The sequence below is a fragment of the Homo sapiens genome, chromosome 2 (assembly GCF_000001405.40).
Source record: "Homo sapiens chromosome 2, GRCh38.p14 Primary Assembly".
NCBI classification, from domain to species: Eukaryota; Metazoa; Chordata; class Mammalia; order Primates; family Hominidae; genus Homo; species Homo sapiens.
The window spans coordinates 1,400,031-1,414,677 of NC_000002.12; the positions used below are offsets into that span (position 1 = coordinate 1,400,031).

Consider the following 14,647-nt stretch of genomic DNA (forward strand, 5'->3'; position numbering starts at 1 on the left):
CATTCTTGACCTTTATTTTCAGCCCTCATGTGGCACTGTCCCTGTCTATTTTCTGCAGTAGCTTCTTGCATTTAGAAAAAATTATGTTTGAAATGTTATTATCAAAGATAGGGGAGAGGCTCCTAGGTTATAAAAAAATACTTGAAGTTGCAACCAGCTATTAATTGAAAACCAAAAATAGGCCAGCTGCGGTGGCTCACGGCTGTAATCCCAGCACTTTGGGAGGCCGAAGCAGGTGGATCACTTGAGGTCAGGAGTTTGAGACCAGCCTGGCCAACATGGTGAAACCCTGTCTCTACTAAAAATATAAAAATTAGCTGGGCGTTCTGGCATGTGCCTGTAATCCCAGCTGCTCGGGAGGCTGAGGCAGGAGAATTGCTTGAATTTGGGAGGCAAAGATTGCAGTGAGCTGAGATCACACCATTGTACTTCAGTCTGGGTAAAGAGCTGAGATCGCACCATTGCACTCCAGCCTGGGTAAAGAGCTGAGATTGCACCACTGCACTCCAGCCTGGATAAAGAAGTGAGACTCTGTCTCAAAAAAAAAAAAAAAAAAAAGAAATATTTGTGACTTTACATTACATGCGTCTCAAAAAAAAAAAAAACAAATTTCACTTATGATGTGCAAAATTGCCCAAGCAGCACAAATGAAAACGTAAATTTCCTTCACGTTTCAGTGGAACTGATGCAGGCTTTTATTGTAGCTGTTAGTTTATCCAAGATTTTTATCAGCAAGAATTGAAAATTAACTTCATGTGGAGTCTTCATGTCTTGTCAAGTCAGACATTAATGGGTAAGCCAAAGGGGATCTTTTTAAAATGCCTTTTTCTTTTTACAAAAATCTCAAAAGCTGGATTCCTTTCTAATCATGTATCCTTGTGGCAAAAAATCCAGCAATACAAGTAAAAAGGACATTCCTTTTCCAAGCCTTCCTCGTGGCCTGAAGTAACTGTTGTGCGTCATAGTCTCCTGTGCTGACTTTCCAACCTGATGTCTGTCCTTGTAGGTCTGGATACTCCTCACCTTGCTGTAAGCTCAGAGAGCTTCACCTCCAGTCCCCTCCAGGAGACTGAGGCTCCCATTAGCAGAGCCTCCCATATCTGTGCCTGCAGGTTGGCCTGAGCTGTAGGCAGCGTGCACATCACAATCACCCTGCTGAAAGAAAGTCACCCTGATAAAAGTAAAACTTTAGGCAAAACACATTGAAGTGAGTTTACTTGACCATTAGAAGACTCGTGAATTGGGCAGCACTCGGAAACAGAGGAGGTTCAGAGAAGAGCGAGGGCAGTGACCTCTCAGATGGATGGGGAAGGAAGACAGAGACAATGCACCCAATCAGTTAGAGCAGGAGCCCCAGCCACAGGGGAGTTGGTGGTTTCTGATTAGTAAAGTCGCTAGTTCTCTTTTTCTGTTTACAATGGGCTTTGGTTTGCTCACTCAAGAACCCCAGCCCTGGAGCCTTCCCAGCCTAGTGTCCTCCCAGCGAGAATGCTGACACTACCCACCAGGCAGCTACACCCATGACCCAGCCAGGCCAGCTACAGCCCCATAGCTCCCCTCAGGACCAGACAAGCAGAGCCTGCACAGCCCTGAGCTTCTCCCTCTGCCCATCCTGCTACCTCCTCCTCCTGGCATGGGTTTGATCCCTAATAAGCATTCTGTACCTCAAATCCTGCCTCAGTGTCTTCTGCCAGAGTGTGGGCTGAGCAGGTGCCTTGAACCAATATCTCAGTGATGACCTCCCAGGAAACTCTAGCCTGCAAAGCCACTCTGCAGCACATCCTGAAAGTACACACCCCTGTGGGTATTTGTCTGACTGTTAGGATAAATTCCAGATTTGGAACTGTGGGTCCAAGGGTATAGGTTAGGAGTCAAAGGGCACTGAGTGCCGCGAGCCAGCCATTTACTCAGAGATCCTACCGAGCAAGCCATGAGACAAAAGCCAGCCAGACCCACGCAGGCTGTGTGAGTGGGCAGGTGGAGGGCACCCAAATGCTGCTTCCTGGCTGCTCCTCATCTGGATCAGAGAATGTTGCACAGACTTCAGGATGAAAGGGCTGACGGTTACCTCTGGCCACATCTCCATCCTGTGGATTCCGTATGCAGCCAAGTGGGCCCCAAGCCTCTCCACCTAACCAATGCCTCAGATGCAAGTGGCCCAGGGCTCATCCAGGGACCACCTGTAAAGGCCACCCTGCCCAGTGAGCTGCGGTCGGCATCCACGGGAGGACTCCCTGACTCTGGGGGCAGATAGTGAAAGAGGAAGAGTACCCCCTAAATCCCACAGGGAAGGCACAGGAAGCAAGACTGCTGGTAATGCCTGGCCCCGTGGAATCTCCAGACCCCGAAGGACCTGCTTAGGAAGAGACGGGAGCACAGAGCAAGCAGGGAGCCAGCCAGTCTGGGAGCCAACACGGAGCCAAGGGGGGTGGGGGATTTCCTGTTTCCTCAGTGAATTAGTCCATTTTCGTGCTACTGATAAAGACATACCCGAGACTGGTCAATTTATATAAAGGAAAAGAGGGTTAATGGGCTCACAATTTCATATGGCTGGGGAGGCCTCACAATCATGGCAGAAGGTGAAAGGCATGTCTTACATGGTGGCAGGCAAGAGAAAATAAGAGCCAAGCAAAGGGGGAAACTTCTTATAAAACCATCAGATCTCATGAGACTTACTCAGCACCAACCAGGAGAACAGTAGGGGGAAAACTGCCCCCAGGATTTAATTATCTCCCGCTGGGTCCCTCCCACAGCACCTGGGAATTATGGGAGCTACAATTCAAGATGAGATTGAGGGGGGACACATCCGAACCATATCACCCCATATTTTGTACATCTTGAATTTGGAAACTGAGCGCCAGTTTGTTTCTCCAGAAAGGTTCCCATCTGCATTTCCACCAGTGGTGAATGTGTGAGTCCTTCATTTCCGGCATCCTCATTGGAGCCACCATTATTGCATCTTTAGTCACTCGCAATATGGGAAAAGATAATGTCTCATTGATACTTAACCTGCGTTTCCTGTATCACTATGTTTTTAGAAAGATATATTTGCATTTTTTCCTTTGTTTTATGAATTGCCTGCTCATGACCTAAGCCCTTTTTTTAAGTGGTGTATTTAAGTGACTACCTTTACTTTGTGTTTCTCTGTAACCCGCAGATGGACTGCCCAGCTCCATTCTTCTGGGGTGTGTGGGAGCTTGTCCGGGGTGCAGGGCAAGGCAATGTGAGAGCCAGCGGGGGCTCTGCTGGACACAGGCCATGCCCGGGCAGCCTGGCGATGCTTGGGTCAGTCCCCTTGTCCCACTGGAGGCCCAGATGGACACCACTTGCTCTCCCTCCTCCTACCATCGTGAGATAGAATGAAATTAAAGGTACTGCAGCAGCTCTGGGCTCTCCGTGGTTCAGCTGTGAGGACACAGTGGGGCCACAGCACAGCCCTCCTCAGCAGTGGTACCTCCATAGCAGTGGTGCCTGCTGTGTCTCAGAATTGTTGCAGGAGGCTGTGCTCACAAAAATGCCATGCACCGTGGGTGGGGGACACTGGGGAACAATGGGCTGGTGACCCTCAGAGTTCTTTGGAACTACCTGTGGCTGCAGCTGCCCCCTTACCATGTGAACTTCAGGACGCTTCTCTGTCAAGCAAGGCTCTTAGAAGAACGTGGTCCCGTGACAGTCCCGAGAGCGGCTCACAGATGGCTCCATCTCCCTCCTTCCGAGCACACCGTGGGTTCACATTTCACTGTGGTGTGACCACCTGGCATGCTTTAGTGGGAGTGGTGTGACCAGAGCACGCCGGGCCCCACCAAATCTCCCCTCTGCACGCAGCGGCAGCATGGAAACGGTGGCTGCCCCATCAGCCTGGGACCCTGCATGGTCAGGATGAGCACAGCCCCTTGACAAAGCTTGGGATGGGGGCCTGTCTGTTACTGCATTAACCAGCCTGCACCAATTCAGAGTCTTCTCAACTTTCAGTTTTGGATATATGCAATCTTGCGTGAACTTATGCATGGAGCGGAGAATCTAATGTACCCATAGCTATGGATCTCCCGAGCACAGATCATGCCAAAGGTAAAACCCGTGTTGTATGTGATTCTGAAACTGGAAGTGGAGGGGCTAAGAGACACCAGGCAAGCATTTTTTTCACCCTGGAATGCACATGTACAGACCTTGCCAGGTGTTCTCCTTAGATTCCTATCACCTGTGTTGCACGCTGTCTCAAGGGAGGAAATGTGTTCTCCTTAGCCAATTGTGGTAATGCAGTAGCCCATTCTACATCTTTGGTACCCAAAGAGGAGTAGACAGGGCCTCCTCTGCTGTGACCCAGTGAGAGGAAGATTCCTGCTCTCTTTTACTGCAGCCTGTTTGGGACTGAACTGTGTCCCCAGGGTTCCTAAGTTAAAGGGCTGACCCCCAGCATTTCAGAATGTACCTGGAGATAAGGTTGTCAAAGAGGTAATTAAGTTAAAGTAAGGCCATTAGGTTTGGCCCTAGTTACATACAACTGGTGTCTTTAATAAGAAGAGGAGATTAGGACACAGACACACACAGAGGGATGACTGTGTGAAGACGCAGGGGAAGGTGACCAGCCAGGGAGAGAGGCCTCAGAATGAAAACAACCCGGCCAACATCTGACTCTTGGATGTTTGGTCTCCAGAACTGTGAAGAAACAAATGTCCGTGGTTTAAACCACCCAGTCTGTGGTACTTTGTTATGGCAGTCCCAGGAAATTCATACACGGTCATTTCTTTCTTTCTAGAAGGCTGCAGCATTGGTTTTCTATTAAATCATTCTATTGAATTTATCACAAAAAGTAAGGTATTTTATAATCCAGTCCTTTTTTCTTACCTTTCAAGATTAATTTTATAGCGCTGGTTATTATCTGTAGTTCACCCTTACAATAATTCAATCAGTTATTTAAATATGTCATTCATTTATTCACTTCATTCTTTTATCCATCGACCCATTCACACATGTACCCACGCAGCCATCCATTCCTTTATTCACTCATCCATGCATCCCACCCACCCACCCGCATAGACATCGAGTCATCCATCGGCCCATTCACCCATCCACCCATTCAATCATCATTCGCCTATCCATCCATTCATCATCCACCCACCCATTTATCCATTATCCACCCACCCATCCACCCATTCATCCATCCATTCATCCATCCACTCATTCATTCATCCATCCTTCCATTTATCCATCCATCCATCCATCATCCACCCACCCATTAATCACTCACACACACATCCATCCATCCATCATCCATTCACTCATCCATGCACCCACCCATCCATCCATTCATCATCCATCCACCCACTCGTTCATCCACCCATTCACCCATCCACCCCCTCATCCATCCTTTTATTACTCACCCACCCATCCATCCATTCTTCATCCACCCATCTACTCATCTATCCATCCACTGATCAGTTTCTCCATCCATCCATCCATTCACCCATTCATCCATCTATCCACCCACCACCTCCCCGCCCATCCATCCATAATCAGAACCCACCCCACTCTCCCAGATTTCTTTCCACCGACCTTTTATCTCCCCCAGAACATTTCCTCATTATTTCAGCTTGTCAGGTGCCCTCTTCTGTTTTCTCACAGATTCACCCCCAAGATTCTAATAGGGAATGTCTCCCACTCCACAGAAATTAATTGCTTCTTTATCTTCCTAACTCAACTATAACTTTTACAAAGTTAGGAAGAACATCTTATTCATGTTCACACTTGTCAAGCACAGAACTTGACCCTAAAGAAGTTCTCAGTAATTATTTGGTTTATTCAAAAAGAAATATGAGTCATTTATTTTACTTAATAGAAGCAATATCCACTGGACGATATTCTAGATTAGGCTTCTTTTTAGACCTTTGTGGTTTTTTCTACAGTCACCACAATACAATCCCAAATCAGCTAGAAAGAAAACACGCATCCTTTCAAACTGTAATTTGGTCAAAACAACATTATTTCATTTTTAGTTTTGTTTTGTTGTTTCCCTAAATTGATTGACTTGGCTGGTTCACCCTACTGTAACCTGTGTCTCTAATTCAACAGGAACGCACATTGCATCATTTTCTGGGGAAGCTCAATGCCTGCAAGTTGGGAGCTGTTTAGTGATATTCACATCCTCCTCTAGAAATTACTTAAGTGTATTTACCGACCTTCACCACTCAGATTAGGGAAATCCACTTGGCAAGGGAAGCCATGCATTCTAATGTGTATAGATGCTAGGGCCTTTTATAGAAACTAACAATTTTGAACCTGATTGAAGTATTGGGCTTAAAAAAGTACCATTTTTTAAAATTTATTTTTCCAGGGCACCTGTGTTACATTTTGTTATCTTTTTGTGACTATTGTAAGACACAAAGAACTTAGCTTAGCCATCCTATTATCCACGTGAATATTGTCCACTAACCAGGTCCTTCTCTGCTTCCAGACATGGTCTGGCTTGGACCTGCCATGCCTGGCTTGCAGCCCCCATCACCCCTGAGCAAGACACAGCCCTGGGCCTCTGAGATGCTCTTGCTGGCCATGGCTCTGCCTTGTGTTTTACAGAGCTCATCGGCCTGAGGGCATCTTCCTCTCTATTAATCTCACTTAGGGTCACAACATGCTGTGAAACAAAGGACCAAATGCCATTCACAATATTACCCCTAGAAACTCCTTCAGGGACTGGAGTCATTTTCCTTTCAGTAATGTAAATACAAGCTCCTGTTCTGCCATTAGCAAGTGGAAGGTGAAGACTATGGGAGAGGCCAAGGGTTTGGAATGAGATGAGCTTGCACCTTAGACAGGATGTTTCTCAAAGGAAGGAAGTACTTGTTTGGACCAGATCATTATTTGAAAGATCATCAGCCTGGAGGGAACATGAGTATGTATTTAGTCCTCACCACACTGTTTCATAAATGTATTATGTGCAGGACAATGAAAAATTTATTTTGCTGCAGGTGGAGGTTGAGAGGCAGACACAGGCACTGGACATTGATGGAGAAGTGAGGGAAGGTGAGCAATGTAAGTATTGTGACTGCAAGGGTTTGTAAGGAAAATATGGCAACACAGACATGCAGCCCTCAAGACAAACGTTTCCACCGGGTTTACCAGTGGCTTTGATTTCTGTTTATGTTAATATTGACAAATTGTATGTGTACTATTACTTTCCAAATACCCTTAGAAATACATTCAAGTCAGCAAAGTATCTTTCTAAATACCACTTTGTTCGTAAAGGAACTGAGATCTGTACCTGGGGAAAGTGCCAAAACCTGAAGTTTGTTACTGGCAGTTGTGGAATATTCTACTGGAACATTGAGAAAAGGGGTGTGTTATGGGGCTTGTGGAGACAGCTGAAAACTGGTGAAACATTTTTCAAAGTGCATCTCTGAATTGTTTCTCGAATTGACCAAGCAGATGTGTCCTTTGTGTAGTTGTCAATCTAACAAAAGCCAAATGTTTCATTTTCTTTCTTTTTAGAAATGGCACATTTATTTCTAAGAAGTCTTCCAAACTACCCCCTTTTCTTGTCTCTTAGCAGGTTGTTAGGTGATGCAGGCATTTCAGGAAAGTCACAAAGTTACTTGGTCATACCTCACCAAATATCAGTATTCTTAACACACAATATAAAACTGAGGCTATCAGAATATTTAATAAACCAGATGAGCACAACATCCTCTTAATGATCACTAATGTTTCCATTATCCCTTGTGGCAATTTAAATTCACTAAAATAAGAACAATCATGCAACCTTCTTTTTGGCTTACATCAAGGAAGATTCCATTTCTATGAAACCCACATCTTCAAGATTACACTGTAAAGACAAATTGAACTAAAACTTTGAAGATTTCTACACAAATGCAAAGAATTCAGATCTGGGATTCCATCTTTTATTCTAATGCATACTTGATCTGGTTGTATTCTGAATCCTCCTTACAGGAATGTGATGTGGACTGACACGTAATTTGGAAACTACTAGAAGGCTCTTGAATGGAACCAGGGATTCTTCACACTTCATAGAGCAGCTGAAAGGGACTTGAGCACTACTTGGGCCTTCTGACGCCAGAGTTACAGAATGCTCTTTTGCCAAATCATGGATGGCCACTCGAGCACACAGATATTCAGGATCCTCTTGTCCCCGTGTGCAGAGAGGCCTGGTGCTGGATATCGTTTATGTGAGTTGAGCGGATAGCTGAGGCTATGTGGATGCATGTAACTAGTTAGAGCATTTTACTAAGTTAATGACCGAAATCAGAGCTCTCAGGTCACTACTGGAATCAGCTCCTCTCCCTGTGAAGTAGTTAACTGTGGTCATGATCTGCCCTCTGCACTTCCCAGTTAATTGCACCTGCTTCCTGTTTTCACGTGGGGAGAGCATCCTCACCCAGCCTTGGAAGCACTGACATTCGAGTTGTGCGTGGGCTGCTGATGAATCCTGGTTCAGTGAGCTTAGCTGCCTAGGCAGGGTGGTAATTAGAGTACGGAGTTTTACAGGAGAATCTACTGCATAATTCATGAGGAAACTGAAACGCAAAAAAGATGTGTAGTTAAAGCCATGTGCTCCTGTGAGTGGGTGGGCACGTGCAGTCACTCTGCCTGCAATAGCAGAGGCGGAAGAGCCGCAGAGACCCGTGGGCTCAAGAAAAGTACATTCATTAATTAATTAATCTTATAACATAAAAACTTTTGATGTTCAATCGGCCTACTCAGACATTCCTCACCAAATAGAAGTAGGAAGGACACGGGGAAATGCAACTTTTCAATGAAGCATCCATCAGCAATTTAATGCCTTGTTTTGTCCACTTTTCCTTCTTGTGAAGAGTGTAATGTCGAAGTTAGAGCCACATCTCCACCTTTAGAAAGACGTGGCTGAAATGTCTGAAGGGCAGGAGAGGTGACCCTTGGTGAGAAGATGGCTCTTTGCTGATATAAGTCACCCCCGATGGCATGGGTCCCTGGTCAGGAGGCTGTTTTACATCCTTAGCTTGTAGAAACGCAAAGCACAGGGGAATGGTGTCCCCAGAGTCCATGAGAGGAGCTTCGCACAGGGACAGACTGCGGTCCCCAGAGTCCATGAGAGGAGCCTCACATGGGGACAGACTGCCGTCCCCAGAGTCCATGAGAGGAGCCTCGCACGGGGACGTGACTGCTGTCCCCAGATTCCAGACTCCTACCTCCTACTCAGAAAAACTGGAGCCATTAAAATGGTTACTGCTGAATGTGGAGCTTTTTGTGGTGTGAGAGAGCCCCATGTTTATTTCCTGAATTTCAATTAACAAAAACCCTCCTGTATTTGTCTTTAGTTTTATCTGACTCATATAAACTGGGAAATTACCTACCTGAGTTTGAACAAAGCTGAATAATTTTTCAAATTTTACAGGGGAATTTAATTAAGTTTGAATGACAGCATTTTATTTTCCAAATTTGTTTTAAAATGAATTGAGCTGTAATAAGAGTTGGAAGATAACACAGAGCTCCCAAACCTCCTTCACCCACCTGCTCAGTGTTAACTCTATGCACGGCCACAGCACAGCAACCAGGACCAGGGAGTGGACGTGGATCCAATGCTGGTGATTACATCTCAGAGCTCACCCTGGTATCCCCAGCTTTTCCATCTGCATCCTTTCCTCTTCCAGGATCCAGTCCTGGCACTGTGCAGCCCACGGCCGTCGGGGGTCATCAGGTCCCTGAGTCTCCTCTCATCCATGTTCATCTCTTAAAAAATAAACTTACAAATTTAAAAATACAAAAAACAGTGCGCGCACACACACACACACATGCACGTGCACATACACACACAAGCCAGGCACCAAAAGACAAACACCTCATGATCTCCCTCCTATATGGAATCTAAAAGTGTCGAGCTCATGGAAGCAGAGAGTGGATGGTGGACACCTAGGGTTACGGGGCAGGTGCGGTGGGGGGCAGGTGTGGTGGGGGCTGGTGCCATGGGGGGGACAGGTGCCGTGAGGGGCAGAAAGATGCTGGTCAAAAGTGAGGGTTTCAGTTGCAGGATAAAAATGTTCTGGGATCTAATGTATAGCTTGATGACTATTGTTTATTTGAAAATCGCTAGGAGAATAGATATTAAATGTTCCTATCACACACACAAAAGGATGAATACGTGAGGTGCTGTATATGTTAATTAGCTTGATTTAATCACCCCACAGTGTTTACATGTATGAAAACATCATGTGAACATAAATATGTATAATTTGTATTTGTTAATGATAGCTTGATGAAGCTGGGGGCGAGGAAAACAAAAACTAAAAAGTGAATGGCAAGTAAAAAAGGCAACATCAGGCTGTAGTTTGAAGAACACAAGGCAGTCAGGCCCTGGCCACATGTCAGGTGAGTCAAGTGTGAGCCCACCCTGGATCCCTTTTCTGTTACAGTCACAGGCAAGGGCCTATTACAGGTGGTCCTGGGCCTCGGTTAGGGAGAGCCTCTTGTCTGTGGACAGAACACACGATGTCTGCAGGGAGAAAGGTGGCCTTTCTATGGAGACATCAAGCAAAATGTGTGATTTGCTGTTTCTCATGCATTGATCAAGGTATTCAGTAATCAGATTTCCCCAGGATATCAAATAGTTCATTGGCACTTGCCAAAAAATGGAAGCGTGCTTGTCTTCTCGGTGGGCCCGGGACTGGACCGCAGGGCTGGTGCCACTCCTTCACTGAGACCTGCTTGTAGCAGGGCCCTGCATTCCCCCATCCTGCCATGTGTGAGTTGGCTTCTTACTGTATCATGCGTTCCTTGCAGATTTCTGTCTTCTTTGGAGCTCCTTGATTTTTCTCATAATGGGAGAAGACGTGTATTTTTTTCTTTCCTTCTCATGGCTAAAACTGTCCTCTTTCTCACTGAGTCTCCCCTGCAATCTCTCTGCTCTCCATTGCTGGGTGGCCACGTCTTCCCAATGCTCCTTTCTGACAGAGACTGGGGGCTTCAGCCAGATCTTTAGTTGCCTCTCTTTCATTCTCCCATTATGTGATAGCCTCGGGTTTTCCACGTCCCCCTGCAGAAATCTTCCTTCCCAAGTCCCCCGTCTTCTTTCTCAAAAATGTGTGTGCTATCCAGTGGGCCTCCTGCAAACCCGCCATTCTCAGACTTTTCTCCGCTCCCCTCTCAACATTTCCAGTGTAACAGCTTCCATTGTACTTGATGCATTATTTATATTGTTTAATTAGTATTAAAATAAGCACATCATGTAATCCAGCTAAAATATGTATTTTCAAATGATAGATACATTTCTCATATTTGTGCGGGGTCAAATGGTAACAGCAACTTAGAGGAGAGGCTACAAAACGACCTGGAGAGTTGATGTGCCGGCTCGGCCTCCCCCAGCTGTGCATGCAAACCCCCTCTTCCCAGGTCTCCATCGGCACTCGGCATTTTCAAGCGTCCTTCTGTGATGAAAAGAGCATCCAGTCAGTATTTACTTTACATTTTAATGCTTTCTTCTTCAAACTCTTCCTTGAGTATTTGCCCCACGCTGTCTCATTTTACCACCCACCTTTCTGGCTGTGTGAATTTCCTGCGAATGCCTTAACAAAGGGCCACGTGCTTAGTGGCTTTACTCCATCAGCTCCGGAGGTCATAGATCCAAATGAGACTTTTGGCAGCAAGGTCCAGGGACAGGCCTGGTTGTGCCTGGAGACCCCAGAGGCCCTGCTCCTGGCCTCCTCCAGTTTCTGGAGGCTCATGGCCACGGCCCTCCAGTCTCAGTTTCCATCATCACTTCCCCCTTTCTCCCCTCAGACTTTCCCACCTTTGTCTTGTAAGGAGCTGTGTGCTAACACTAAGGCCAGTGGATAATCCAGGCTAATCTCCCCTCCTCAAAATCTTAACTGAATCCCATCTGCAAAGCCCCTTTTGCCATGCAGGTTGCAGTCACAGGCTGGGGGACTGTGTCCCCTAGACGCTGGTGCTCTGAGCTACTCTTGAGGTCTTTTCCATCCACATTCTCCCAAGAAGAATCCCATTCACTCACAGTCCACTACTGTATCCCCCCTCAGGACTCCCAAATGTGTCTTTTTAAGCTGGACTTCACCCAACAGCTGAAAGTACATTTCCAAATGCCCAAGAGCTCACTGCCCGCCTGTGCCACGGGCACCTCCAACACAATTCCAAGCCTGAGTCTGCTGCTCCTTTGCTTGTCACAGCCAGTCTCCTTTCTTCTCTGGCCTTCCTAGGGCCAGTACATGAGATTTTCACTTGCTTAGGCATCAAACCGAGGATGGCTGAATCCTCAGAGGCTCTGTGCTTTTCTTCTGTTCCCAACAGTAACTCATCATTGAGCCATGGAATCCTCTTTAATGAGCCACCGAGTCTGGTCCTTCCTCTCTATCCAAACCCCACCCTCCTAGTGACCATTCTCAGGGTGCGTGGGGGGATTATATCACTGTTGGCTGATCTCCTCCCTGCTCTTCAGAGCTTGTCTAACTCATTTGTTATCTTCACCCATTTGAGGGGTGAGTGATGAGGATTGAGGGGAGAATGTTAAAGGCAAATCATCACATTCTTGGGCTTCAGAACATCTTCTAACAAAGATTAATGTTCTGAAGCCTTTGCATCGTGTTTTAGCATTTGGTTTCAAATTACCTAGAGGAAGCATCAGTCACATTTGGAGAAGGGAAAGAAAAGGAGAAAGATGAAGATGATTTTCACAAACTAGAAACCCATAGGACTTCCGGGGGCATGAAGAGGCTCCAAGTCTCAGGAGCAGGTCATTGAAGATGTGTTATTTTATCATTTTCATGATGAGATACAGCCTGAAAGCAGATCACCCATGAAAACATGTCATCTCCCAGTGTTCGGAATGCAGTCATGGTGACCTTCCTACAGAACATCTCTGTCTTTGTGGGGACTCTTTTGATGGGTGCATGATGAGGATTGAGGGGAGAATGCATGCTGGTGAACACACACTGAACTGTGCTCATTTTTCACCTCAACAAATTGGAAAAAAGTGTACTTTATTCACCTCTTAGTGATAAGAAAACTAGGGGCTTGGGGACAGGAAGCAAAAGGCTCAGAGTTGTAGAGCGAGTCATCGGTGGGCCTGGGAGCTGCACCCAACCCAATCCTCGGAAGATTAACAGCCCCTTTTTCACAGGGTATTTAACTGTGAAAGTAAGAGGGAGGAAAATGCAAGTGTCACAAGTCTGGATTTAGTTGGTTTATTCTTTCTCCCTGTATAATTTTTCCCCTCTTCTTCCTAACTCATTCGGCCAGAGGCTGGACTGCATGTGGACCCCGATGACATGGCACTTTGTTTCTGACCAGTCAGGACACACAAGAGGCCCGGCGCAAACACAACAAAGCCCGCAGACATTCTGTCCCCACGAAGAACGGACGCCACTCGACTTCCTAGCATCTTGACGGGCTATCCAAGCGCGGAGTCAGTTTATAAGGTGGGTAACCAAGTCCCTGGAAGGCAATTAAGGCGCCCATTTCAGAAGAGTTACAGCCGTGAAAATTACTCAGCAGTGCAGTTGGCTGAGAAGAGGAAAAAAGGTCAGGTTGTAAAGCTTTTTATTTTTCCATTTTCTAAGAGAAATTCATCATTGGAACTTGTAAAGTGGCCCAAGAGTGGCTGTAATTTGGGCCATTATAGCAGGTATGGGTGGCGTCTCTCAGCAAAGCTGACTGACTGACTGATGAGTGCTGTTTGCAATGACCTCCGCTGGAACATGTGAGTCCTGTAGGGTCGATTCCTAGATCACCGTCTACTGAGACACATTCCTGTCAGCATGGACTCACTGGTGCTATCCTGCTTAACAAAATTAGTGGCTCAAAAATAGCCACAGAAAGCCTAAGAGAAGAAAACAAGGATTTGAAAGTAGAAATGATGAATTTTGAATCTTCTGTTTTGTCTTAACAACTAGAATTCTAAAATCATTTTATGGACATAAGAATGCTTTAAGAAATTCAATAGGCATTTAGGGGTTTTATTTATCACTTTTATAAAGACTAAATTTCTAATAGTACTCACTTTTTGCCACATAGATGCATTAGGGGAAACAGATTTTTTTCATTCCCAATAATTATTCCCAGTACTGTTACACTATTTGACATTACCAAAAATTTAAATAGGTTATTACTGAGATATATTGGCAACTGGAGCTGCCAACATAAAAACTCTGTTTTTGAATAATGGGGGCCTGGGAGGCCTGCTCAGCGCTGCAGTTTCTGTAACCTCCTGACATGGACGGCGACTCTGGTCTCGCAGACCCCAGGCCTGTGAGGGTCGCTCACTGCGGTAGAGGCTGCGTGGAGTCAGTGGAGGGAGCCCCTCAGCAGGGAGACAAGGACACAGCGGTTCCCATGGCCTTGTCAGTGCTTGATTACATACTCTGTCTCCTTCCGTTAATTTTAGAATGAGAGCGCTCGCTGTGCTGTCTGTCACGCTGGTTATGGCCTGCACAGAAGCCTTCTTCCCCTTCATCTCGAGAGGGAAAGAACTCCTTTGGGGTAAGTAGCAAACACATTGCGGTCTTCTGGCCTTATAAAGTTATTTTTCACACTTACTAAAATAGAGGGCATAATGGTAGCTCCTGAGAGTCACTTTAGGCCCCTGTAGTGTATGCTTTGTTATGCTTAAGAAAAAAAAATTGTAATTCTTGATTTTAGAAGGATTGAAATATGT

At 45.9% G+C, this 14,647-nt stretch overlaps 1 protein-coding gene across 21 annotated transcripts in view, besides 1 other annotated feature; it reads left to right on the forward strand.

The window, feature by feature from the left end:
• The window catches only part of TPO (thyroid peroxidase), a 169,627-nt gene that overhangs the window by 25,984 nt on the left and 128,996 nt on the right, over nucleotides 1-14,647 (forward strand). For 7 of the 21 annotated variants that reach the window (XM_011510380.4, XM_024453090.2, XM_047445657.1 and 4 more), the window contains exons 1-2: nucleotides 13,433-13,693; nucleotides 14,378-14,472. In XM_011510380.4, coding sequence (XP_011508682.2) covers nucleotides 13,659-13,693; nucleotides 14,378-14,472 — 130 coding nt within the window. In that variant the 5' untranslated portion in view covers nucleotides 13,433-13,658. Of the gene's footprint in view, nucleotides 1-3,157; nucleotides 4,069-6,962; nucleotides 7,027-7,941; nucleotides 8,178-13,233; nucleotides 13,413-13,432; nucleotides 13,694-14,377; nucleotides 14,473-14,647 lie in introns of those variants that run through there. The other 14 variants (NM_000547.6, NM_175719.4, XM_024453088.2 and 11 more) reach the window with 9 other exon arrangements.
• Nucleotides 3,537-4,037: an enhancer, noted in NCBI's record as "H3K4me1 hESC enhancer chr2:1407339-1407839 (GRCh37/hg19 assembly coordinates)". NCBI's record gives its function as "activates a minimal SCP1, AML or CMV promoter by ChIP-STARR-seq in primed H9 embryonic stem cells {active_cell/tissue: H9 hESC(primed)}" and the evidence as "EXISTENCE:reporter gene assay evidence [ECO:0000049][PMID:30033119]".